The 27,742-nt window shown below is 40.0% G+C and overlaps 2 non-coding genes across 2 annotated transcripts, besides 6 other annotated features; one reads left to right on the forward strand and one right to left on the reverse strand.

Annotated features, from left to right (window-relative positions):
- Positions 7,210-7,269: an enhancer, noted in NCBI's record as "active region_8238". NCBI's record gives its function as "activates an Ori minimal core promoter by ATAC-STARR-seq in GM12878 lymphoblastoid cells {active_cell/tissue: GM12878}" and the evidence as "EXISTENCE:reporter gene assay evidence [ECO:0000049][PMID:35858748]".
- Positions 7,350-7,409: an enhancer, noted in NCBI's record as "active region_8239". NCBI's record gives its function as "activates an Ori minimal core promoter by ATAC-STARR-seq in GM12878 lymphoblastoid cells {active_cell/tissue: GM12878}" and the evidence as "EXISTENCE:reporter gene assay evidence [ECO:0000049][PMID:35858748]".
- Positions 7,658-7,764, forward strand: RNU6-7 (RNA, U6 small nuclear 7). The gene has a single exon (NR_104084.1). It is a non-coding gene; the product is annotated as an RNA, U6 small nuclear 7 (small nuclear RNA).
- Positions 8,507-9,052: an enhancer, noted in NCBI's record as "H3K27ac hESC enhancer chr14:32672100-32672645 (GRCh37/hg19 assembly coordinates)". NCBI's record gives its function as "activates a minimal SCP1, AML or CMV promoter by ChIP-STARR-seq in primed H9 embryonic stem cells {active_cell/tissue: H9 hESC(primed)}" and the evidence as "EXISTENCE:reporter gene assay evidence [ECO:0000049][PMID:30033119]".
- Positions 8,687-8,866: a silencer, noted in NCBI's record as "silent region_5659". NCBI's record gives its function as "represses an Ori minimal core promoter by ATAC-STARR-seq in GM12878 lymphoblastoid cells {active_cell/tissue: GM12878}" and the evidence as "EXISTENCE:reporter gene assay evidence [ECO:0000049][PMID:35858748]".
- On the reverse strand, positions 8,776-8,882 carry RNU6-8 (RNA, U6 small nuclear 8). Its single transcript, NR_104088.1, has one exon. It is a non-coding gene; the product is annotated as an RNA, U6 small nuclear 8 (small nuclear RNA).
- Positions 9,053-9,597: an enhancer, noted in NCBI's record as "H3K27ac hESC enhancer chr14:32672646-32673190 (GRCh37/hg19 assembly coordinates)". NCBI's record gives its function as "activates a minimal SCP1, AML or CMV promoter by ChIP-STARR-seq in primed H9 embryonic stem cells {active_cell/tissue: H9 hESC(primed)}" and the evidence as "EXISTENCE:reporter gene assay evidence [ECO:0000049][PMID:30033119]".
- Positions 11,913-12,072: an enhancer, noted in NCBI's record as "active region_8240". NCBI's record gives its function as "activates an Ori minimal core promoter by ATAC-STARR-seq in GM12878 lymphoblastoid cells {active_cell/tissue: GM12878}" and the evidence as "EXISTENCE:reporter gene assay evidence [ECO:0000049][PMID:35858748]".

Raw genomic sequence — 27,742 nt, forward strand, 5'->3', positions numbered from 1 at the left:
TTAGAAGTATATTTATATGTTTCTTGACTCAACTTGACTGACGCCTCCACGGACACAATGTCTACCAGCTTAGCTTAATACCTTATAATGATGGGATCAATACATGTTTAGTGAAGGGGTACAGGTAGAGTACAAAGTTCCAAAAACCATGGTACACTGGTTAGAAACAGTAAATCCTTTGGCATTAGACTTCAGCAACAGATTTGTTTTTTGTTTTTGATGATCTCTTCTTTTTATTTAAGCATGCTTTTTTTATTGTGATATAATTCATACTGGTGAGATGCACAGATCTCAAGTATATACTTGATGTGTTTTGCAAATGAATATACCCAACACCCACATGTAACTTACATGCTGATCAAGATATAGAGCTTTAAATCATTTCAGAAAGTTCCTCTGTACCATTTTCTAGTCAATTCACGTTCCCCCTTGCCTTTAAGCAATTGCTGTTCTGTTTTCCATCACTACTAGAGTAGCTTTGCTTGTTCTTAAACTTTATATTAATAGAAGCACACAATATATATTCTTTCATTTTTGGCTTCTTTTGTGAAATATGTCTGTGAAATTCATCCATGTGGTGCATACCACTACTGTGTTTCTTCTTATTGCTGAGTAATATTCCCTTCTATCAATATATCACAATTTATTCATTCTCCTGTTGATGGACATTTTGATTGTTTCCAGATTGAGACTGTTACAAATAAAGCAATTGTAAATGTTCATATATGAATCTTTGTGGATATATGTCTTAATTTCTCCTGGACAAATATATAGGAGTAGGATTGCTGGGTCACAGTGTAAGTAAGTGGTTTATCTTTTCTTTGTTTTTGTTTTGTTTTGTTTTGTTTTGTTTTTGAGACAGAGTCTCGCTCTGTTGCCCAGGCTGGAGTGCAGTGGTGTGATCTTGGCTCACTGCAAGCTCCACCTCCTGGGTTCACACCATTCTCCTGCCTCAGCCTCCTGAGTAGCTGTGACTACAGGCGGCCGCCACCACACCCGGCTAATTTTTTTGTATTTTTAGTAGAGACGGGGTTTCACTGTGTTAGCCAGGATGGTCTCGAGCTCCTGACCTTGTGGTCCGCCCGCCTCGTCCTTCCAAAGTTCTGGGATTACAGGCGTGATCCACTGCACCCAGTCGTGTACGTTTATCTTTATAAAAACGTGCCAAATAGTTCTTCAAAAGAAGTACTATTTTACACTCCAACCAACAATGTATGAGAGTTCTAGTTATTCCATATAATTGCCAATATTTGGTATTATCAGTCTTTTAAATTTTAGCCATTCTAGTAGGTGTTGTATTCATTGCACTAACTAGCAGTTTCCTGATAATTAATGACATTATCTTTTCATTTTCTTACTAACCATTTGTATATTTTTTGATGAAGTGTCTGTTTAAGACTTTTGCCCATATTTTCTTCGGGTTCTTCTTTTTATTGTTGAGTTATGAGAGTTCCTGATTTATTCTTGATACAGTTCCTCTTTCTGATATTTGATTATGATTATTTTCTGCAAGTCTCTGGCTTGCCTTTTTTTTTATTTTTTAGTGGTATCTTTTAATGAGCAGAGTTTGAAATTTTGGTGAAGTTCCAATTTATTAACTTTTTAATGGTTTCTGCTTTCTGTGTCTTGTCTTAGAAATCTTTGCTAAGCCCAAGGTTGCAAAATTATTTTCCTATGTTTTCTTTTAGAATTCCCGTCCCAAATTAATTTTTGTGCACTTACAAAAAAGATAACAGTTTTATCTACCTTTGTAGAAGCTCTCAGAAATGCTGGGACTCTATCTATGTAACTCTCCTGGGATCCTGTAATGAAAACTATTTTATTAAAACAAAAGTTTATTGCCTAAAATAAAGGTGATTTTGATTGATGAAACATGCATTTAAATAATTAAATTATTATTTAGTCACTTTATTCGAAAACTGAACACAAAGACAATTCTGAATCATTTCTATTAATGGAGACTAACATGGGCACAGATGATGTGTCTTGGATAATTTCATTATTGTTGTTTATAGTTGCAGGCTTTCTCCTTTGTTTTTATTTCTATGACAATTATATTACCTTTCATTTCATGTGTAAGCATCAGTAGTTTAAAGAAGGTAGCCCGGAAACATTTTGGAAGGTGGTCTGATATTGAATTATTTTCCTTCATAATCTAGAACACATAGACTTGACTGAAGATTTTCCTTTTTATTATGTTCTATGTATTGATTGAATTTCAAATCAGTTCATAAAAATTTTCCTTGTTAAAGCTATACAGCATTTGGTTATCTTTAATGTTAAATGAAATCACAGAATAATAGAAAAAGGTTGAGATTAGGATTCTGAGGATCCTTAGTTTGAACGTTGTCTTTCCCTTAACCTGCTTTTATTAACAGTATGAATTTAAGCAAGGTACATAATTCTTTTTTTTTGACATGGAGTCTCGCTCTGTCACCCAGGCTTGAGTGCAGTGGCACAATCTTGGCTCACTGCAAGCTCTGCCTCCCGGGTTCTGGCCATTCTCCTGCCTCAGCCTCCCGAGTAGCTGGGACTACAAGTGCCCGCCACCACACCCAGCTAATTTTTTTTGTATTTTTAGTAGAGATGGGGTTTCACCGTGTTAGCCAGGATGGTCTCCATCTCCTGACCTTGTGATCCACCCGCCTCGTCCTCCCAAAGTGCTGGGATTACAGGAATGAGCCACCAGGCCCAGCTGCAAGGTACATAATTCTTTTGAGCATCAGTTTCCTCAGCTGTAGAATGGGTAATAGCTATGTCGGAATTATTGCAAATACTAAATGCAATCTTGTATGTAAAATACCTGTCAAGTATTTGTTGATTAATAAATATTACACTCTTCCACCACATTTTCTAACTCTTGAGTTATTACCTCTAGGAAAGAATAAATATAATGATACACAAATTCCAGGAACTGAAGTTTTCCGTATCAGCCTATACAGTGTTCCTCAGACTAGGATCTAGAACCTCTTGGAGTCTTCAGACAGATTCTTAAGGGTTAGAGGATTCTCTAGAGGATTTTTAGAAATAGTTTTTTATTGGGATGATCATCTTAAAATATTAAAATAGGCAGGGTCTAAAACATCTGAATATTCACCTTATAACTAAATATTGTCATGAGATTTCAACATGAATCTTCATTGTTTGCCATGCCATCTTACTTAGCTAACAGATTGTCAGTGTGACAGTGTTTGTAACTGGCTGCTATTAGGCGGGCATGTCCTGCTATCTAAATGACAGCAATGGCTAGTGTCTGCCACCATGCTTATGTTGAATTACTTGTTAATGAGGTCAAAATTTCTTTTTCTCAGTGATAATACATACAAGAATAACATTTCCAATGACCAAGACTTTACCAAGAAAACCAAGTTTCTTATGGTTTTAATAAATCAATACTTTCATTTCACATAATGAAAATAACACGACTGACTAATGTACTACTTTGTAGGGGCTAATAAGAAATGAACAGGGACAGATTGAATAATGTAAGTGATATATTTGTACCAGGCGAAAGCCAAATGCTTTCAGACACGTTGTACCAATAAAAGTGTAACAGTAATTTGAATATTCTAAAATGAAAACAGGATGGAAAAATAATAAAATTCAACTTATGATTAACTTTGAAATGGTGTGAATGAGTGACTTTTGGTATCTACTAATCACCTTGTGAAATTCTGCCCTCTCAAGCCTCATTCATATGGCAGATGTGGTGCTGAGCCTGTTTGAAAAACCACAAGCTGTGTGATGCCTGTGTCAGAATTGTTTCACTACAGAAACCTGTCTGCCCTGTTTTGAGAGTGAGAGGGAATTTTTGAGGACACAGACTATCTCCATTAATCTTTTTCTCTTTTGCCAACAATTGTTGCAATATTTGCCAAATAGAGTCCCACACAGATATAAATAAAAAGACAGTGAGAAGCCTTGTGTCTTCTTTATCTTCAATGGTCTAACTACAAATTCAAGACTGAAACTTTAAAAATAGCTTTAAAATAGTCTTAATAATTAAAACTAACTTCAGGTAATCTTTCCTATTCCAAATTTCAGCAAAATCTGATTGGATATATATTTAGTGGTGATTTAAATTATACTGTTATATTAACCCCATGCTGCATTAAATGATACAGCTTTAGGCCGGGCATGGTGGCTCACACCTGTAATCCCAGCACTTTGGGAAGCCAAGGCAGGTGGATCACTTGAGGCCAGGGGTTTGAGACCAGTGTGGCCAACATGGTGAAACCCCGTCTATACTAAAAATACAAAAATCAGCTGGGTGTGGAGGTGCATGCCTGTAATCCTGGCTACCTGGGAGGGTGAGGCATGAGAATTGCTGGAGGCTGGGAGGCGGAGGTTGCGGTGAGCCTGGGCAACACAGCAAGACTGTCTCCAAAAAAAAGAGATATGGCTAATATGTTGGCAAACTCAAACTGCATTATCTTCTGCAATACATTAATAAATTAATGCTGTTAATTTGAATTTTATTGATTTGTACTTTCATGTCGAATTTGTAAATCTGCTTTTGTTTTAGAGCTGTGTAACAGCTATAGGAGAAAGGAGTTTATGCTGTTTTGTGTTTATATTTATTTAAAGAACAATAGAAGGAATTTAAGTAACAGTGGAGATCTTGGGAGAATTCTGTGCTTTAAAAGAGGACATACATAAATCACCTGTGAGAAATTCTGTTTTAGCTCTTTTAACATTACATTGTTCAGTAATGCCCTAACTCTAAAATTAAGTTTTCTTATTATTTCTGTACACATCTGAGCATTTAAAACAACTTACTTTATTTATTTTTTTTTTTTTAGTGGCAGGGTTCTCACTCTGTCACCCAGGCTGGAGTGTAGCAGTTTGATCATAGTTCACTGCAGCGTTGAATTCCTGGGCTAAAGCTATCCTCAGCCTCACAAATAGCTAGGACTATAGGAGCATGCCACTGGGCCGAGTGTGTGTATATATATATATATGCATGCCCAGTATACAGAGTCCCACACAGATATAAATAAAACACAATGAGAAGCCTTGTTTCTTCTTTATCTCCAATGGTCTAACTATAAATTCAAGACTGAAAGTTTAAAAATAGCTTAAAAATCGTGTTAATAATTAAACTAACTTTAGGTAATCTTCAGGTATATACACCCAGTATATACCTCTATACAAATATATAGATATACTGGGTGTATATTTATATATATATAGAGAGAGGTATATACTGGGTGTATATACCTGAAGATATATATATCTAGATATAAATATAGATATGTCTAGATATATATTTTATAGATATATCTATATTTATATCTAGATATATATAAAATATATATTTATATATCTAGATATATATCTAGCTATAAATATCTAGATATATATCTAGCTATAAATATATATAATATGTATCTAGATATAAATATATAATCTAGATATATATATCTAGATTATATATAAATATATAAATATATCTGTATAAAATATAATATATATTTGTATTTATTTCTATCTATCTATCTATCTATATAGATAGATATAGATATAGCTATATATAGAGAGAGATAGGGAGGCTGGGGTCTCACTAAGTTTCCCAGGTGGTTTTGAACACTTGGTCTCAAGGGGTCTTCCCACCTTGGCCTCACAAAACTCTGGGACCTCACCAGGCCTACGACCATTTATAAAGATTTTTCTCCCCTAATGGATTTATCTCCTGCCAACCTTCAAACATTTCTTTTTCTTGTATGTGCTAAGTCTTTTCCCACTTTTCAGAATGGAAAGAGTTTATAAGTCGTCATCTGGGAATGCAGCCTAACTCTGAAGGCGCATATAGCTTGTAGGGACATCAAGTTCATGACCCTGTAACTCTGATCGTCCTTCTAACTATAGATTCTTCTAACCATGTATCCTTTAATAAACTGATTAGTTGTAAGGTTTTTAAGAGAGAACATGAAAGAATTTTGATATACTTCTACAATCATAAAATTGAACATCAATTTACTGCTTCCTAGCTTTGAAGTCACAAAGCAGAAATAGCTTATTGGAAAGACAGGGCGTTAGAAGAAATATATCAAAGCACATTTTATTTGTAATTGGAAAATTTAACTCAACAGGAATGTCGTTTTTGCCTAATTTTTTTGAGGGGGAAAGAACAGTGTTTCTATTACTTTTCAAAAGCTGTGAAAGAAAAGAATTATAACCTCAAACACAGAAAAACATAGGGTTAGCAATAATTCCTGTGGGCTTAACTTTCTGTTCCTCTTTCTGTTTTTGGCTCAGCAATACCAGAAACTCGTATATGATTTCACACTATTTTCTTTTGGTACATCAGAAAATTGGATACCAATTAAAATTTTTCTCAATTACTGATTTTTAGTAGGTTCTTACTTCAAAATATTGTTACAGGAAGGGGTAAAACGACCACAGGAAGGAGAAAAAGCAAAACTCCAGTTATTGGTAAATGTGCCATATTCCTCATTCAACGTGCCGTTTTAACGCAACACAGGCAAACATTTGCCCTTTACTTTCTTCAATATATGAAATACTGTAACCAAATAAATACCAGAGGCTTTGATCTTTGGCCCTCATCTCACAACGCTCAGGGATATGACTTGAACAGTACGATTTTTGCTGTAGTTAAAAATCAGAATATTTAACACTAACAGTATTTCTTACGAGTAGGTCTGTCCCGTACTTTTGTATCCTAACAGGGTTAGGATGAGAGTGCAGGGAGGTATAAGGACGTACAAGAATGCTTCTCCAGTTCAACTCTAAGTGAACGATGTAATTCCTCAAATCCACCTCTCAGCCTGTTTTTCAGCGTTCCTGTGTTTGGCTGCCAGGGGCGAAAGTAGCGGTCGAGGGAAGACACCTGTGAAGGGGCGTGGCTACTCGCCCGGGTTCCTCCGTCCCTGACCCCAGAGGCGCCTGCGCAGAATGGACAGAGGCGCTGCTGTACGAGAGGGGTGTGGCCGCCCTGTCCAAGGTCCTCAGCCCCCGACCCGACGGGCGCCTATGCACACCGGCCGGAGATAGTCACGCAGATGCCAGTGGAGTCCACCGCAACTTAGAATGTAGTGCCGACGGCTCCAGAACTGAGTGGCCGAATCGTTGCAAGGACTCTCCCGGAGGGTTGAACTTTGGGTTCACTTCAGCAAAGTCTGTTGGCACAAGGCCCCAATGTCACCGGCGAAATATCGGTGAAAACTTCCATGTTTGGGGGAAGACCCCTGCCCGACCTAGTGACCTAGCGGGCCAACCGCCTCCCCAGCTCTCAGAGAGACTTCGGGGAGACGCCAAGCGCTCCAGGCCGGCCCTGTCCTCTGCGCTCCACTGCTGCCGCACGGACTGCCAGACTCCCGGCATGCTCTGCGGACTGAAGTCCGCGGCACGAGAAATCAAAGCCCCGGGGCCTGGGTCCCACGCGGGGTCCCTTACCCAGGGTGCCCCGGGCGCTCATTTGCATGTCCCACCCAACAGGTAAACCTGACAGATCGGTCGCGGCCAGATACGGCCTGGCGGTCAGAGCACCAATCTTACGAGCCTTGTGATGAGTTCCGTTACATGAAATTCTCCTAAAGGCTCCAAGATGGACAGGAAAGCGCTCGATTAGGTTACCGTAAGGAAAACAAATGAGAAACTCCCGTGCCTTATAAGACCTGGGGACGGACTTATTTGCGTGCTCGCTTCGGCAGCACATATACTAAAATTGGAACGATACAGAGAAGATTAGCATGGCCCCTGCGCAAGGATGACACGCAAATTCGTGAAGCGTTCCATATTTTGCGCGGTTCAACGAAGGTCGTTGGGCAAGATACGGTGGTGTTCCTAGAGGTTGTTCAAGATCTCTCGGGGCCTGCATTTTCCTGCTCGCGAGCTTGGCCCAGTAGACACCTACGATGCTGTCCGGGCCTCCCACCAGTCCTGTCGCACAGTGGGCACACTTCCTCGACAGCCTCCATCTTCGAGGCGCCTAGTTACGTTACTATTAAGTTACCTAGGTGATCCTCGTATCTGCGTCCAAATACTTGTTTTCATTGATTAAAATATGCTTTCAGGCTGGGCAATGAACATTCCTCCTAATCAAATTTCCCATCACAGAATCTGTCCGATTTATGTAAATCGGCCCTTTCTAAGTACTTCTTAGAGGATACATGAAAACAGAAGACTCGTGAAAACAGATCCAGATGGGCTTGCTACTTGTGGCCAGTATTCACATGGGTCCTGGAGCTCTTGAATCTATAGGCAAAGGCCAACATTGATTTCCAATAATACCAGCCCTTAGTAACATTCCTTTCCTTTGTGCAGCTCGCAGTCTAAGAGAAAGGGTGTAAGCACTCAGGTCTAAGATGATGGAGAATGGCACAAAGTAGGCGCAAGAAATGAGCGCTAATGTTTCCTTCCTTTAGTAGAGATTTATTAGGTTAGGAAAGATTTAGTAAGGATTTATTGAACAATTCATATGCCAGTTGGTCTTCTACTGAACAAAAGCCAAACAAGCTGGGGCTCTGGAGTTTGTGTTGTTTGGTGAGACAAGACCGTAAGTCTATTTCAGAATGAAAAGTTCAATGAAGAAGGCACAAGGTGACCTTTTTCCATTTCCAAAATGCGTATTAACGATCTATTCGCACACAACATTCCTCGGGTGACTCTGCTTCGTTCCCACTTCATAGATTTCACAAATTTTTTGTAATGAAAACCACTGTTTCGTCATTGGGTGCCACACGTTTTCGCTTAGATTCACACTGTTTCCTTAGTACTAATTAGCAGATACTGAAATGATCTTGACAGACTGCGCAAAATATGGAACGCTTCACGAATTTGCGTGTCATCCTTGCGCAGGGGCCATGCTAATCTTCTCTGTATCGTTCCAATTTTAGTATATGTGCTGCCGAAGCGAGCACGTTGAGAAGAAGTCACCCACAGGCCTTATAAGGCACGGGAGTCTTTCACCTATTCTACTTACGGTGACCGAACCGCGCCCTTTCCTGTCCATCTTGGAGCCTTTGGGAGAATTTCATGCAACGGAACTCATCACAAGGCTCGTATGTTTGGTGCTCTGACCGCCAGGTCGTACCTGGCCGCGATGACCTGTCAGGTTTACCTGTTGGGTGGGACATGCAAATGAGCGCCCGGGGCACCCTGGGTAAAGGGCCCCGCGTAGGACCCAGGCCGGGGGCTTTGAGTTCTCGTGCCGCGGAGCTCAGCCCGCGGAGCATGCCGGGAGCTGCCAATGCTGCGGCCGCCTCTGAGCGCGCGGCGGGGTCCAGCGCCCAGGCGAGCTGGAGACGCCCCGATAACGAGGCTGCTGCGGCACCGAGAGGGCCGGCCCGGGGTCGGCGCGCACCTTTAGAACAGGTCGTTTCACCATTAACTTCCTCTGATGAGTAATTTTTTTTAAAAAAGTAATTAACCGACCATTATCACACCTAGAAAAGTTAAGGTAATTCCTTCATGGCACCTAATATTCAGTCTACTTTCAAATTTCCTTATTTCAGAAATTCCTTATTACAGTCGAATTGTCATAGAGATCCAAACAAGGTCCCAGGTTGTATTCGGTTGCTACGACCCTGGGTGTCTATTGTCCTCTAATTGCCCTCGCCTCGTTTTTCTTCACGTCATTCGTATACTGAGGGATATTTGCCCTGTGGATTGTCGCAGATCTTGGGATTTGGCCCATTACTTACTGATGGTGTCGTTTAACTTGTTTCTCTAGCCTCCATGTTTCTTGAAAATTTATGGTTAGGGGTAATGGACTCATTAGATTCTGGTTGTGTTGTGTTTTGTTTTGACGCCCGCACGGCTTCAAACACAGTGGTAGGGTGTGTGCTTACTGCACCTCAGCAAGAGTAGTGTATCCGCTGGCTGTCCCCGTGTGAGTGATGCCTACCCCTGACCTGTGGGTGCAGGTGCGGTCAGCCGTCTGACCCCTCACACTATAAAGTCTCCCAGAAATCTTTCCTTTAATGATTTTAGGATACACCCATGAACAAGCCAAGTAGAAGGTCTGGTCTGGTGGTTTGCTTGCTTTTTGTTTTGTTTTGAGGACACGTTGTAATTGTACATATTTATGGGGTGCAATTTGATGTTTCGATACATATCTATGTTGTATAACGATCCAATCAAGGTAGTGTATCCACCACCTCATGCATTTATCCTTTCTCTGTGGTGAGAACATTCAGTAGCCTCTCTTCTATTTTGTGGTATACAAAATTTTACTGTTAACCATTTTCACCCTACCGTGCAATAGAGCATCAGAATTTTTTCCCTCTTCTTTAATTGTATCTTTGTACCCATTAACCAATGTTTATAAACAAACATTGTGAGTTTGTGAGTTATAAGTTTACTTGTGAGTTATAAGGATTTAACCCCTGGCCTGTGGTGGCCAAGTTCTGTATCCCATGGAAGAGAATTGAGAGAATAATAGGATCAGGGAAAGAAATTAGGAAAGAGTGTTGATGTCATTTGAGTCTCTGGATCATTTGATCCCATGAGCAGGTGCTTTCCATAGTTGTTTGGTTACTCGTTCTAACAAATTACTTTTATTAGGCTAGATTAAAGTTGTTTTTGCCAAATGCAAATATGAGATCTTAAACATTTGTGAGTTTAGCATGTCTTCACACTGCACACTTGCAACATTAAAACATTATTGGCTTCTGCTAAACTCAAAAATATTTAAGATGCCGTATTTGCATTTTGACAAAAACAACTCTAGTGTTAGTACCCGTGGTTAAGCATATATGAATTTCCAATCACGTTTTTTTTTAGGAGGAAATAGTGTTCTTTATCACATCCTTATAGGAAAGTTATGAGGTAGGTGGCTATTTAATTAAATAATATTTTGTATGATTTGACTCATTTGAGAACGATGAGTCTTTTTTTTTTTGAGACGGAGTCTCACTCTGGCAACCAGGCTGGAGTGCAGTGGTGCGATCTCGGCTCACTTCAACCTCCGCCTCCCAGGTTCAAGTGATTCTCCTGCCTCGGCTTCCCAATTAGCTGGGACTACAGGCGTGCGCCACCACGCCCCGGCTATGTATTTTTAGTAGAGACGGGGTTTCGCCGTGTTGGCCAGGCTGGTCTCAAACTCCTGACCTCAGGTGATCCACCTGCCTCAGCTTCCCAAAGTGCTGGGATTACAGGCGTGAGCCACCGCACTCCCCCCACCACCCTCACGATGAGTCTTACTTAATAGGAATTATTAACAAATTGGCTTTAAGAAATTTATTTAAAGGATTTTTTCAGTGAGACAAATGTTTTATTTTTATATTCTGGAACATTTGAACTCATCAATAAACATAATAATTTTAACGATTTACATTAACTGAAATAAAACAACTGCCTTTCCTTTGTGACATGTAAAACTATGGTGCATTTCGCAATCAATGACATTTTAGATCCAAAGAGATGTATCTTATTTTTTGGAAGAGGAAACTGAGGCTGATATAAGTGTAGTGACCTCCCTGGGCAAGATTGGCCACTGGTCCTACCATCTTCTGATGCCGAATTCATTGCTGTTTTCACTGCACCATTTGTAGTATTACTAGGTCATACTATTTGCAGTAAACTGCAAAGAAAAAGATAAAGACCTCAAGCCTGCCATTTTACAATTATATTTCTGAGTTCTGCTCATTTGACTGCAGAACAAGACAGCACACACTAAGTGGAAAGCTGACCTTGTTCTTTTTACTCACAGAAAGGGCACATTTGGTGATGTGACACAATTGAAAGTCAAAAACCACAGGTCATTTCCTCTTCAGGAATTTTGCTCTAATTAAAAAGAAGAAGAAACTCATCCTAAATCCTCACATCCTCTTTAGCAAGGAACAGATGAGTCATTTAGAACCACAGCATCAATGACCGGCGTCACCTGGTGTGAAATTGGTGAACTCCAGGTGGGAAACAAAGGTTATCAACCTGGGCTGCAGGTCGCAATCACAAGAGCTTTTAAAAATACGAGTGACTGAGTCCTCCCCTGGAGATTCTGACTTTGTTATTGTTGTTTTTAGACAGGGTCTTCACTATGTTGCTTAGGCTGATCTGGAACTCCTGGGTTCAAATGATCCTTCTGCCTCAGCCTCTCAAGTAGCTGGGTTTACAGGTGCACACCACTGTGCCTGGAAAGAGATTCTGATTTAATTGTCCTGAGTACGGCCGGGGTGTCTGTGAGATATCTTTCTGCATTCTCCCTCTGCCTCTCTCTTTCTCTCCACGCCTCCTGTGAGCTCTCAGCCTTTATAAGATCTTCTTTGGGCTTGTCAGCACCCTTCTTTCTTTCCTCTCTTCTCCTTTCTTTTCCATCAGACACACTACATCAGGTGAAGCTTGTTTCGAGTTCCCCACCAGGCCCCTTTCTTTGCTACTGGCTTCCTTTTATGGCCATACTTCCTTCCCTCATAATGCACCCACTGGCTCCCCAAGACTCCTCCTAAATGTCCCACTTACAATTGTAAGGATATTTAAAGACTCATCAGTCTGGGTTTTATTTCTTCAGGGCTCTGCTAACTAACTCCACAAACTAAAATATACTAGAACAGTATTTCTCAAGCTTTCTTAGTGATAGATTCCCAGACCCAACTTCTTACAGTTTCCAGAGGATTGACTTATGCCACTGTATTCAGAGAATCACTGGCATATCACCCATATGACCTATCTGTGTTTTAATGGCTACTTTTAATGAAATGAGAAAGTCACTCTGGTAAAGCTGATGTGAGATATTTTGGTGCTTGGAGCCCTTTCATGGCAACCAGTTCCCTAATGTGTAGAAGATGTGTAAACCTCATGTTCTGTTTTATGGTAGGGAAAAAACCATGTCAGAGAGGAACTTCTTAATTTCTTGTAATTACTACAAATTTAACTCTATATACACTCATCCACTTTTCTGAAATGTTATTTCAGAAAAATGTTATTTACAAATAGATGTTATTTGTATGGAAAAAACATTTGTGCCCAGGTAGAAAACTGGATTGTCTGGAAAATACAAAATCTGATTCACATTCTATGGAAGCTATTTTACAACTCTGTAGATTGTAGATAACTGATGGCAGTTAATAATTTCTGTTTATAGCTGTGCAAATTCTCTCCTGACTGGAAGTTCAATTGACTTCTCTTCACCACTATGGAAGAACCCAGTTTTGCTTCCATTTGCACATTCAACCTTCCTTTATTCCACATAATTTTTTTATTTCTCTTTTGAACTAGTTGTAACGTCTCCTGCGTTTCCGCATTGATTCGTGATAAAATCTTTAACGTGTGTTCATTTTTTATGTGTATGAGAGGCATGATTTTATCCACTTTTTTAAAAAAATTGTCTTTTTAAAAGTTTGGAGGTCTTCCAATGAGTTGTCTATTGGATTCATCTTAACAAAACCAGATATACGTTTCACCAGACTAGCTTGTGGGCTGCTTAAAGCCCAAACACATTTTTTTCTTGGCTGCCAAATGACAATAGAACTTTGGTGACTCTGTTTTTCTAATTTTAATATTTTTCTCTATTAAGTTTGTGATTTGTCTCTGTTTTGCTTCCAGCCAGCCAGTGTGTCTGCTGTACTGGGTGGAAACAATGATTGGGAATTTGGTGTCATGGTCTAATCATTTGGTAAGCTCTGTGAATGGATTAATATTTATAGAGATCTAGTCTCTGTTGGGTGACAGACTATAGAGAAACTAGTTTATTAGTCTTGTTTATACACCTTTTGTCCATTTTGGGCTCAAATCAATTAAGAATATTGTGCCCATCAAGAAGGGGAACAGCTCTTTGATATCTGAATTAGTAATTTTTTTTGTGCTTCCGTGTTTATTCTTGACCCGTGAGTGAAATTTTAGAATTAAAGCTATAAACTCTATGTCTGCATGTTTGTAATTCAGAAAGGTCTTTATCTCTCATTATATGAATGTGTAATGCTTTCCTAAATCCAGAGGGTGTTAACAACTTAGATTATGAAATCTCCTACATTAAAGGAGTCCGGTTCTGATTGATTTAAGACAAAGGTCCCCAGCCCCCAGGCAATGGACTGGTACCTGTCTGTGACCTGTTCGGAACCCGGCCGCACAGCAGGAGGTGAGCAGAGGGCATGCGAGCATTGCCTCCTGGTAGATCAGCAGCAGCATTAGATTCTCATAGGTGTACAAACCCTATTGTGAACTGTGATTGTGAGGGATCTAGGTTGCACCTTCCTTATGGGAATCTAATGCCTGATGATCTGAGGTGGAACAGTTTCATCCCCAAACCGTCTATCCCGCCAACCCCAGGGAAAATTTGTCTTCCAGGAAACCAGTCCCCGGTGCCAAAAAAAGTTGGAGACTGCTGGTTTAAGAGATGAATAAATGCTTACATAAGCATAGTATGCCAATAATGCCCAGAAAATAAGAAATGGAATTTCTAAAAATTTCAATGTGCTAGATTTAAAAAGTATTCCAAAAGCAACCAGCTTAGGAACATTTTAAGAATTCAAATTCACATAATTTAGGCAAATCTTTGGTAAACTAGACTGTTGTATTAATTTGGTTTAGTAAAAACAGCTGTGTCTTCTTTGGCTTATCAGTGTTATATATAAGTGTAGATTTTTATTGTGCCTGGGTATGTTTTTCTAAGTGTATGCAGGTTTACTGATCAAATAAGCTTGCATTACTTCTACTTAATGCTTGCTTATGAAAAATGTAAATTTGCGTTTGACCAAGTTGCATACTTGTTTTGGTGAACTTTTCGTTAGTCATTGGTCTGTAGCATGTCAGATTGAAGATAAGTTTCCGAGATCTATGTAAATTAAAGTCTTGGATCGGTTTTAAATTGGGCTAGTTAATGGAAAAATCACTGCATATCTAGATAATTTCTAAGTAACAATTAAAATATTAGTTATTAAGCATAATTATAGCTTTACTTTTGCTTTTTATTTTTATGTGCTATAGACAGGCTATCTCTTTGGGTCATATTAAGGAACGTGTTTATTTTTGCCACTTTGAGAAGTTGTATTAGGGATATTAGCCACTGTAGAAAGTTGTGTTATGCATATTGACGACCTCTGCTAATCTGATAAAATGCTGGGTTGTGACAGTTCACAATTATCCAGCCCCCCACTTTTCTCTGCAAAATAGAAGTTACTTTGGTTAAAAGTGATAGTTACATGGTTGACTACACTTAGAAACAGCTATTTCAAAGAAATATAACTCTGTATGTGCTTCTGTTTTTTTCCAAGGAAAACAGTAGTTTTGTCCTAAAGTAGCAGCATGAAATTTTTCATATTACCTTATTTTCTTTTAATCTTTGTAGTATAGTATATGTAGTGTAGTCTCTTTCATTGCTGATGTTGGTATTTTGTATTTTCTCTCTTATTTTCTTGATCCATCTGGCCAGAAATTTATCAGTTTTATTACATTTTTTGAAAAACCAGTTTTTGGGTTTTTTGGAAACCCAAAATAGAATTGTTCATTTTCTGTTGATTTCTGCCTTTTATTATTTCCTCCCTTTTGTTTACTCTTGGTTTAATTGCCTCTTCTTTCTCTAGTTTCTCATGGTAGAAGTTTAGATTGTTAATTTTAGACCTTTTTTCTTTCCTAATACAAACATTTAAAGCCATACATTTCTTTCTAGGCACTACTTTAGCTAAATCCTACAAATTTTATTGTACTGTGTTTATATTTTTAAATATTTTTCTTTGTCACATGGGTTATTTAGCCAACTTAGTTGATAATGTTCAAATCATGCATATCCTTATTTTCTGTATATCTTTCATCAGTTATTCAAAGAGGACTGTTTAAATTTCCAGCTGTAATTCCAGAGTTCTCAATCTGACCTTTCAGTTCTGACATTTTTTTCTTCATGTATTTTGAAGTTCTCCTGTTACATACGTATTTAGGATTGCTGTGTCTTCTTGATGAATTGATTCTGTTATCATTATGAAATGATCCTCAACATTCACAACTACTAAGATTATTCAAATGGATTTTCAATGATTTATAAAAACAGATTTAAAGCAGAAACACAACTTGCATTTTGCCAAGTCATATTCCCTTTATCCTGCTTTACTTTTTTCGTGGCAGCTCTTTCCATCACACACGTATTTATTTCTTTGCTTGCTTTCTGTCTTCCCCAACTAGAATAACATTTCCAAAGAGCAAGACTTCATCTGTTCTATTTATTGCTGTATTCCAACTGTCTACAACAATGCCTGCCACAAAGTCTGACCTCAATACTTTCTGAATGAAATAATGTATAATAAAGTCACACAACTGTAACAACATCTTTCCATGACTCTACCTCACTTACTTCATGGTGAGACAGGGTTTGCTCACATGGGGGCGATTTCAGAAATAACTTCTACACCGTGATGTCTTCTCATGCTGCTCTTCAGCGCAATCAGTATCACAAAACAATGTTGTCTTGGGTTCTCAGGGTCTTAGGAAGCTATTAATGAGATTATTCTTTGAAATTAACTTTTTTTTTTTTTTTTTGAGACGAAGTCTTGCTCTGTCACCCAGGCTGAAGTGCAGTGGTGTGATCTCAGCTAACTGCAAGCTCCGCCTCCCAGGTTCATGCCATTCTCCTGCCTCAGCCTCCCGAGTAGCTGGGACTAAAGGCGCCCACCACCACACCTGGCTAATTTTTTTGTATTTTTAGTAGAGACAGGGTTTCACCGTGTTAGCCAGGATGGTATTGATCTCCTGACCTCATGATCCGCCTGCCTCGGCCTCCCAAAGTGCTGGGATTACAGGCATGAGTCACCACGCCTGGCCTGTAATTAACTTTTTAATCTTAGCCACTTCTACTCTAGCTAGGTTTAACCTGAATCATTCTAGAACAGTGGGTCTGAGTGACACACACCCCTGGACTCCTATTATGAGCCTCCACTCACTTCTTCCCCTGGTGGCTGTTCAGGCCCTCCTACATGATCGCCTCTATGGGCCAGCCTCACTGCTTCTAGGAATGGCTCTGTATATTCCTGGGTTGTAAAGGTGGGTAGGAGTTAATTTCTCATGCTAGGACCCAAGGTGCATAAAGCCTTTACATTTCACATCTCTTTATTGACGCTGTGATTTCACTCCCCCCATCAACTCTGTTCATTCACACAGCTCATGAAGGTTTTTGTTTACCAAGAAGTCTAAGTTTCAATCTACCAAAAAAACTGAGGCTGCCCCTGTTGTCATATTTGATAGTGTTAATTGCAAGTAAAACACTTATTAATCAAATCTTCCTGTCCAATTATTTTTACAGAGTGAAAAAAATTTCTTTTTAATTAATTGTGTGTTTTGGGTGTCATGGAACGATATTTTGGTCTGATGGTCAGAATTCAAACCCCAGTCCCAGCCCTTGAACAACCCACATTCTCTTATGAAATGGGGATAATAACTACCCTGCTTGCCTTTTAGGGTTGACAGAAAGATCTGTGAGAAACGCTTGTGCCTTTACATTGCAAAGCATAGCAGGTGTGTAAATTGCTGTTGTTGCGGTGAGAAACTTTTCAGTTTTAAGGTTTGCGGTGATTGGAATTTTTTAAATTTATTTTTTATTTTAGTTTTTTTTTTTTTTTTTGAGATGGAGTCTCGCTCTGTCTCCAGGTTGGAGTGCAGTGGCACGATCTTGGCTCACTGCAACCTCCGCCTATTGGGTTCAAGCAATTCTCCTGCCTCACCCTTCCGAGTAGCTGGGACTACAGGCACATGCCACCACACCCAGCTAATTTTTGTATTTTTAGTAGAGATGGGGTTTTACCATGTTGGCCAGGATGGTCTCATCTCTTGACCTTGTGATCTGCCCACCTCGGCCTCCCAAAGTGCTGGGATGACAGGTGTGAGCCACCATGCCCGGCCGGATTTTTATAATTCATTAATTCAAAAACATTTGGGCATTTGCATCAGAGACCTTCACTACATCCTGAAGAGCACTTGCCTACAATTCTTAAGCTGAGGAATACAACCCAGTAGTCAGCTGTTATCTTGGAAATTATGACCAGTTAAAAACAACAACATTGGAAAGGAAACGGTGTAACTTTAAGGGAAAGCAAACTTAGGGCCAGTCACCTTCCCTGCCACCCAAAGCTTAGAATATTAGGTATTATCTGTTTAACATGTTTCTTAATTTTTTTAACACAAACGTTTTGTACATTTGGGTCCTGTTTATTAAATACATGATGAAAATGAGAGAGGTAAGATCTGCTGTCTCTTTGAGGAAATTAAGACTTAAATGTTTTACTACTTGTACCTACTATTAGCCAATTGATCTTTGTTATTGCCTAGAGTGAGTATCAGCAGGCTCAAACTGTATTCTTAGTCAGCTGTTAAGGTTCCAGTATAATCACCTAGTACTTCAGAATGGGGGGGGTGGGGCAAAACCCAACATTCAACTATCCAATGATGCTTCCACTAGAAACGTCCTCATTCTTGTGATGTATAATCCTGGTTCATGCTAAGTTTATAAACTTCTTGTTTTCTGTATCCCTCACTGGCTGCTCTATCCATAACCCATAACCCATAACCACTGAGACCCCCAGCCTTAGTGCTTGGATCCTGCTTCCACTTCAATAACCTTGGGTAAGCTTAGCCACTTGGGATTTGGTATACAGAGTGTGCATATGTGCATCTCTGGTTCAATAGGGGATACAGGCCAGTGTGCTCAGTATGTCCCTTCTGTGAACTCATATGATCCAGATTCCTGGGTCCCAGCACTGGGAACTGTGATTTAGTAGGTCTGGAGAGGAGCCCTGGAATCTGTATTTGAACAGGCACCCAGGGGATTCTGATGCAGGGCTCTGTGGGCTAGCTACCCTTTGTAAATCACTGTGTTCTCCAATTGTTGGCCTGGTTTTTAATCTTTCCTTTTTTTTTTTTTTTTTTTTTAATCTTACATTCCAGGAGCCTAAAACTAACTAACCTTCCACAAGTCAATACAGGTTTCTTTTCCCTGTCACCTTGCCTGGACCAAAGTTTTGAAAATGTAGTCATCTTCTTCCTCCTCTATTCTGCCTTCCTCCTTTCTTCTTGGGCCTCCTCCTCCTCTCTCATGGAGTTATTCACAAAGTCCAGTTGATTCCTCCTCTCCAGGCTTCATTCACATTACATCTCATTCTCTTGGAGCTCTAAGCCCCCACCCACACTGCCTCATACCTGAACTATCCAAAAGTCTTCTAGCTTTAAGGCTGGGCGTGGTGGCTCATGCCTGTGGATTCTAGCACTTTGGGAGGCCAAGGTGGGCAGATTGCTTGAGCTCAGGAGTTGGAGACCAGCCTGGGCAACATGGTGAAATCCCATCTTTACTAAAATACAAAAAATTAGCCAGGCCTGATGACGCACACCTGTATAATCCCACCTACTCAGGAGGCTGAGGCATAAGAATTGCTTGAACCCGGGAGGTGGGGGTTGCAGTGAATTGAGAATGTGCCACTGCACTCCAGCCTGGGTGACAGAGTGAGACTGTGTCTCAAAAAAAAAAAAAAAGAACCACCACCCAAAACAGAAGTCTTCTAGCTTCTCTCCTCTTCCTGTAATCCCTTTTGTGCATAATTGTCTGCCATTTGTACAAACACCATTTTCACCATGTCACTCATCTCTTTAAGAAACAGTAGTGATTCTCTGCCTTCCACATTAGAATTTTCTTTTCTATCAACTGCACTCCTCATTACTCCAAAATATTGCCTACAGTCCATTATTTACACACAATTTCTTTACTCTTGCCTTTGATGATATATTCTCAAAATATATTCATTAGAAATTTCAATGGTCACAGAACTTACTTTGGTAAAGGAGATTTTGCTACATTGACTACATTATTATAAATCCCTTCCCATAAGCAATGGCTAGAGTTGCTTATGGGAAGGGAAATCAAATGGACTGATGCTGATTAGAGGAGGAACTTCCATTCTTCTATTTTGTCACAGAGTTAAACTGCCCTTTGATGGTTTCCTTAGACTAAATTAGATTTATTTTGCTCAATGAACTTTGACCTTGAGCTTTTTTTATTTTTTTTTTATTTTATTATTTTTTTTTTTTTTTGATACCGAGTCTCTCTCTCTCGTTACCCAGGCGGGAGTGCAATGGCACAATCTCGGCTCACCGCAACCTTCACCTCCCGGGTTCAAGCGATTCTTCTGCCTCAGTCTCCTGAGTACTGGGATTACAGGCAACCGCCACCACACTCAGCTAATTTTTGTATTTTTAGTAGAGACAGGGTTTCACCATATTGGCCAGGCTGAGACCTTGAACTTTTTTTCCCTCGCTCTGTCGCCCAGGCTGGAGTTCAGTGGCACCATCTCGGCTCACTGCAAGCTCCGCCTCCCGGGTTCACGCCATTCTCCTGCCTCAGCCTCCCTAGTAGCTGGGACTACAGGCGCCCGCCACCATGCCTGGCTAATTTTTTATATTTTTAGTAGAGACGGGGTTTCACCGTGTTAGCCAGGATGGTCTCGATCTCCTGACCTCGTGATCGGCCCGCCTCGGCCTCCCAAAGTGCTGGGATTACAGGCGTGAGCCACTGAGCCCGGCTGGACCTTGAATTTTTTTTATTTTCATTTTTATTTTTATTTTTTTTTTTTGAGGTGGAGTCTCGCTCTGTAGCCCAGGCTGGAGTGCAGTGGCGCCATCTCGGCTCACTGCAAGCTCCGCCTCCCGGGTTCAAGCCATTCTCCTGCCTCAGCCTCCCGAGTAGCTGGGACTACAGGCGCCCGCCACCATGCCCTACTAATTTTTTATATTTTTAGTAGAGACGGGGTTTCACCGTGTTAGCCAGGATGGTCTCGATTTCCTGACCTCGTGATCCGCTGCCTCGGCCTCCCAAAGTACTAGGATTACAGGCGTGAGCCACCCCGCCCGGTCTGGACCTTGAACTTTTAAAGGGAATGGAGTACCTTTTAATACATTGTCTGTTGATAAAATTTCCCTAAAGCTGGATGGCCAACATTTTGGGTCAATATATAGATTGTTTTGAACAACTTAAAAAATATTACCTGTTTTGAGCCGTTCTTATTTAGTTAAACTGAATCTGTAATAATAAGACAAAGCTTTTACCCATTTTGAATTTTAGGAACAATTATTCAGAAATTCAGGAGAGATACCTGATCACTGTTACAACAGATGTTTTGTTCTTCTTATTCCAGTCCTTTTATATCCCTGGTAGCTATGGAGAAGCTCGTGTTGGAAACGATTTAAATACTTGGTAAATCAACATATGTTTCTTTTCAGAGCACTTATCATTGAGATTGACTGCTGTTCCCCACCTGGAGAAAGACAGTTCTTAACCTTTTTTTTTTTAATTTTTCAATCATAGCTGCTATGGTTTGAATGTGTCCCTTCCACTTCCAAAATTCAAATGTTGAAACTTAATGGCTAATGTAATGCTGTTAAGAGGTGAGACATTTAAGAGGTGATTAGGTCAGGAGGGCTCCATCCCTTGTGAATGGGATTAGTGCCTTTATAAAAAGGCTTAAAGGAGGGCTTAATGTTGTGCCATGTGAGGACACAACATTCAAGGTGCCATCTTGGAAGCAGAGATCAGACCATACCAGACAACTGAACCTGCTGATGCCTTGATCTTAGACTTTCCAGCCTCCAGAACGGTGACAGAATACATTTCTCTTCTTTATAGATTACTCAGTCTTAGGTATTTTGTTATAGCAGCGCAAATCATACTGAGACAATAGCATAACACCCCTAAGGTATGCCCCTCTTCCACAATCAAAGAGATATACTGAATCAGTTGTTCTCAAAGGATCTCTCACTTTTCTTCTCTCTGGATAAGGTGGGCAGTGTATGTGTTACTTGAACAAGCCCCTCGGGTGGTTCTGAAACCCTCACCTGTTCTCTCACAGCTTTCAAATCTTTTAACTGCTGCTTCTTTAACCAAAATTTATTGGTTTATCAGTTTCTGAAAGATTTGTGGTAAGATTTGCCTCTTTATTTATAGTTCTGAAAAAATTTTCATTGTAACTCTTATTTTTGCTTTATGTAATGAGGCACTTATAAGTTCAAGATTGTTATATTTTGTGGGTATATCTTTTTAATTTTATTTTTATGTAGTTTACTTTTTTAATGTAGTTTACTTATCCATATTAATGCAGTTGTGGTTAACTTTTATATTGTATCAATATTGCTAAGTATGTATCCTTTTGGTTAATATTTGCTTGGAATATCTTTATCCTTCTGTGTATTTTCTAGTCTTTGGTGTGATTTTCAAAATTATGTTTGTCATAAATAGCATTGTTCAGATCTTAAAAATTAAACCAATCTCATTCCATTTTAAAATATGTAGATTTAATCTGGGGGTTAGCGACTTTTTTCTGTCAGCCAGTAAATATTTTAGGTTCTGTGGGTCATACAGTATCTGTTACAGCTACTCAAAAGCAGCCTCAGGCCACGTGAATAAATGGGCATGGGTAGATTTGTTCTGCCAGCTATAGTTTGCCAACTCCTGCCTTAATCTATTTACATTTTTGTGATTGTTGATATGTTTGGCTTATTTTGTGTTTCCTGTTTACCATTTATATTACTTAAGGCAGTGTTGGCTGAGGTTACAGATTAATCCGGAGACCTCAGTGGCTCAGCACATTGAAGATTAGATTTTACATGATAAAATAATTATATTTAATATTTATATATATAGTAATACTTATATAGTTTATAAAATAATTATACTTTATGTATATTATAAAATATAAAAGTTATATTTTATCTAAAATATAAAGCAGTTATATTTTATCTAAAATATAAAGCAGTTATATTTTATCTAAAATATAAAGCAGTTATATTTTATCTAAAATATAAAGCAGTTATATTTTATCTAAAATATAAAGCAGTTATATTTTATCTAAAATATAAAGCAGTTATATTTTATCTAAAATATAAAGCAGTTATATTTTATCTAAAATATAAAGCAGTTATATTTTATCTAAAATATAAAGCAGTTATATTTTATCTAAAATATAAAGCAGTTATATTTTATCTAAAATATAAAGCAGTTATATTTTATCATGTGAAATCCAGTCAGTGGCACAGATAGGATAGATGGTCTGCCCCTTGCAGTCGTTCAGGAAACCAGGCTCCTTCCTTCCATCTAGTGGCTCTGTCACTCCGTATGTGTGGGGTGCATAATCACCACAGAAAGGGAAAGAGGCAGTGGAGTAGACACACCTGCTTCTTTAACCACATTAGCCTGGAAGTAATTTATGTCACCTCTCACATTTCATAGATGAGAACTAGTCACATGGTCCCACCTAGATGCAAGAGGGACCTAGGAAATAAAGTTACTGTGGCAGCCACTTCCAACGACCCTCCCTCACGTGGTAGAGGAACACAGACCTTTGGCAGACATCTGGGCACTTCTGCCGCAATCACCCTTTCTCCTTGCTGCCTTTTTTTTCTTTTCTACCTTCTGTGGGATTTTTTTTTCTCTATTCCCCTTCATTCCCTTTGTTGGCTTGGAATATATATGATGTATTTTTCTTGTTTTATTAGTTGTCCTTACAGTTTTAACACATACTTCAATTTTGAAATGTCTATAAGGCCTGTGTTTATTCAGTATATCTCTTCTCCTATGGATAAGAAAATAATCTATTGATTCCTCCCCTCCCCCTGTACAGATACTCCACGTATCTTTCTTCTTGTTGTTGTCTAGAGTTTTATTTTACCTTTAAATAAACCCCCCCAAAACCCCACAAAATAGTTATTTTTATGGTTAAGAATTAAATATACCACTATTATATTTTTGTCAATTTCTCTCCTCATTGTTCTCTGGATTGTTTCTTCCTGAAGTGCATTCTTCAGTTTTTAAATGTTTTTTTCAGTGGGAGTCTGTGAGTGGTAAACTCTGTTTGTCTATTATGCCTAAATAGCTACATATAGAATTCAAGGTAGATAATTAGTTTCTCTCAGTATGTGGGAACTATACTCCATTTTCTTTTGGCATTGATTGTAGCTGATGGAAAACCCATTGTCAGTCTAATTGTCATTCCTTCATAGGAATTTGTCTTTTCTCTAGTAATTTTTACAATGTTTTGTAGTTTGACAACACACTATGGTTGTGAATTTATTTTTATTGATTCACCTTGCTTTACAGAATGCATTTCGAAATGTGGTTTCTTGTGTTTCTTCAGTTCTTGCAAATTTTTAGCCACTAATCCTTTGAATACTGCTGCCCTTCTAATTCCAACTCTCTGTTTTTCTGCACTTGATTATATTTTGAAGGGTATCTGTATATTCTCCATGTCTCTTAACTGCCCATTCATAATTTTTTCTCCTTCTCAGTAGTGTACTCCCAGCATAGTTTTTCAATTCCCTAATCTTTTTTTGAGAGTGTACAGACTAGAGGTGATCTAATTCATTAAGCTTTTCGGTTTCTGTATTTTTCATTTATCATATTTTTCATTTACCTCTTCTAATTTCATTTGTGCATGTTTTCATTTCATCTTTTAAATGAATGTTATTCCTTCCACTATCTCTGTGAAGATCCTGAAAATATATATACCCTTTTTGGATTATTTTTTCCATTGCATTTGCTGTGTTGGCTGACATTTGTTGGTTTTCTTCATTTAGAGAGTGTCCCTCTTTCCCTCTTTCTTCACTCATTCCTTCCTGAATGGTTGTCTCTCCCTTAGTCCCCCTGGAATGTCAGCTCAGAACCAGGTATTTTATGGGTAGTGGGGACTGAATAGGTCACAAGTCCAGTCCCTGCGTTTGTGGCAGCTTGCTCAGGATAAGTTACTTTAATTTCAGGACTGTGACAGTTTCCTTCTGTCTCCCTTTGTTTGAAGCTTCACAGGAGGCTTAAACGTCAGGCAGCAGCTGTAGTAGCTCTTATGTCACTGGTAGGATGGGTGGGAGACACTGGTATAGTCCTGATTTCTCATAGTGAGCTTGGCTCAGGGTACCCACCATGTGTGGAATTCCCATGAATCCTGAAGAGCTGAAATCAGTTGGGCCAAAAGAGATCATTATCTTGCTTTAGAGCATCCCTTTTAAATATCTTTTTACGTTTTATCTGTTCTTGGTGTTTGGAGTAGTGATGGGATGGGTGTAGTCCCATTCCTCTTCTTTTAGAATCCGTTAGATCCTGATTTGCATGCCTTTCCCTATTTGTTTTTAATTGGTGACCATGCCATTCAGCCTGATTTTTCATATATCATTGTTGGATCCCCAAATGTATCCCAGAATAAGCAAGCATGAGTTCTTCTATAATTTTCCTCAGGGACAGATGGTGGTGACTGAGCTGATGATGGGTGTGTATTGGGCCTCAGTGGCTGTGTCAAAGTATGGTTAGGACATGGCTGGCTTGAGTGTGAGTCCTGGCAGGGCCACCGTGTCCCCTCCACTCTTGCTCCTCCTAACACCCTCTTCTCTTAGCTCACATGGCACGGACTGATGCCCCAGAGGAGTCTGCAGAAGAATGTGAGAAGGCTGCTTTTGGGTTGGGCTGACCCAGACATGAGACCTACTATCTTTTTCAACACTGCCTTGAACCTAATTTATTTCTAGTTCTGAACTATGGAATGGGGCAGCACTGTGTGGCTGTGTGTTGTGCACTGTTCCCAAGTATAGAAAGCCATGGGGGCCAAAATCCAGTTAGCATTCCATCCAAGCTGTGCACGCATGGTGCTGTGTCCATCCAGAGTGAGGGTTTTTTTTTTTTTTTTTTTTTTTTGAGACGGAGTCTTGCTTGTTGCCCAGGCTGGAGTGCAGCGGTGTGATCTTGGCTCACTGCAACCTCCGCCTGCCTCAGCCTCTCGAGTAGCTGGGACTACAGGTGCATGCTGCCATGCCTGGCTAAGTTTTCATATTTTGGTAGAGATGGGGTTTCATCGTGTTGCCCAGGCTGGTCTCGAACTCCTGAGCTCAGGCAATCTGCCTGCCTTGGCCTCCCAAAGTGCTAGGATTACAGGTGTGAGCCACCGCACCTGGCCCAGAATGAGAACCTTGTAATTCACACAAAGACGTCAATTAGACAAGTGTGGCCATCCAAGGACACATCTACTGCCTCTTTCCAGGTCTCCCTTCACCTCAGTTAAACTAGCTTGTAAACCTCTTGTTTGTCACCCTTAGAGACAGAGTGTTGTTGAACCCTGTACTAGGGATACTTTCCCACTGGGGTATGGTGAAGGGATGATTAGGGTCTGGTGCTGGTTGTCAAGCCATCCTACTGACTGCTGGAAGAAGCGTCAGAAGCTGGGCTTCCTTTCTTATTTCAGTGTAGAGCTGGCAGATGAGGTGCAAGCTACCCCTTTTGAATGGGTTAGACTTCAGCCTTTTTTTTTTTTTGAGACGGAGTCTCACTCTTGTTGCCCAGGCTGGAGTGCAATGGCGCGATCTTGGCTCACCACAACCTCCACCTCCTGGGTTCAAGTGATTCTCCTGCCTCAGCCTCCCAAGTAGCTGGGATTTCAGGCATCCGCCACCACGCCCAGCTAATTTTTGTGTTTTTAGTAGAGACAGTGTTTCTCCATGTTGGTCAGGCTGGTCTCGAACTCCTGACCTCAGGTGATCCGCCCGCCTGGGCCTCCCAAAGTGCTGGGATTACAGGCGTGAGCCACCACGCCCGGCCAGACTTCAGACGTTTTATCCAACTAATGACATCCTCAAACTGCCAAGTGGTCAGATCAGCTTTGACCTTTATTCCCTCTAGGAGTCAGTTTTTTGTGCACAATGCCACTGACACTTTGGACCTGGATCTAATTCCCGCCTTCATCTCCTCTGACTTGTTACATAACTTCTTTTGGCCATAAAAGTATTAGACTTTGGCCCCAGGGAAGGAGTTGCTAGAAATCCAGCCCTTGGTACAAGGAGAGTCATGGTAAATATCACCTTGCAGTCCTGCCTTGATACTAAGTATTAAGTAATATTATAGCCTGATTCCTTGTCAAGGAACCCTTCTCTGCTAGTGACTAAGATAGCATAAAAGCATGTGGTTTCCAGAACCAAATGTACACTTACTTTCATTTTTTTAAAACTGATCTTTAGCATCCTTGCTACTTTTTTTTTTTTTTTTTTTTTTTTTTTTGAGACAGAGTCTAGCTCTGTCACCAGGCTGGAGTGCAGTGGCGTGATTTCGGCTCACTGCAACCTCTGCCTCCTAAGTTCAAGCAATTCTACTGCCTCAGCCTCCCAAGTAGCTGGGATTACAGGCATGTGCCACCACGCCCAGCTGATTTTTATATTTTTGATAGAGATGAGGTTTCACCCTGTTGGCCAGGATGGTCTCAATCTCTTGACCTCCTGATCCACCAGCCTCGGCCTCCCAAAGTGCTGGGATTACAGGCGTGAGCCACTGCACCTGGCCCCTTGCTACTTTTTATAATTGCCAGAACTCACAAGAGAATTCCTTCAGGGAGGTTTAGGAGATGACATAAGGAAGGAAAGACTCATTTGCACTCAAGAGGAAAAACAGTAATTATGAGGACAGAGGAAGCTAGAGAAAGAAAATCAAGGAAAAGACACTGGGAACAAATTTATTCAATCCAAGGGTTTAAGGTAGTGGTTGGTAGATTTGAGTTGGGAGTGTCAGTTTAAGAATATCTTGTACCAGCCACTGTCCTTGAAACCAGCTTGTAGGGACAAGGGTATGAGATTGAGGGACCACAAGGAATCTACCTTATATAACTGGGGTGGGGGAAGGATGAGTCAGCCTAGCAAGACTAATGTTTAGAGTTGTGAGGGCTTTTGATGAACTTATCTTTTGGGAAGCATTTTATTTGGCTAAAAGGATTTTACCAGCAGGGTGAGGGATGGGGGAAAACACTGATGTTTGGAGTGGGACAATGTTTGAATGGGAAGCTGTTTTCAGCTAGTCACA

The sequence above is a fragment of the Homo sapiens genome, chromosome 14 (assembly GCF_000001405.40).
Source record: "Homo sapiens chromosome 14, GRCh38.p14 Primary Assembly".
NCBI lineage: Eukaryota > Metazoa > Chordata > Mammalia > Primates > Hominidae > Homo > Homo sapiens.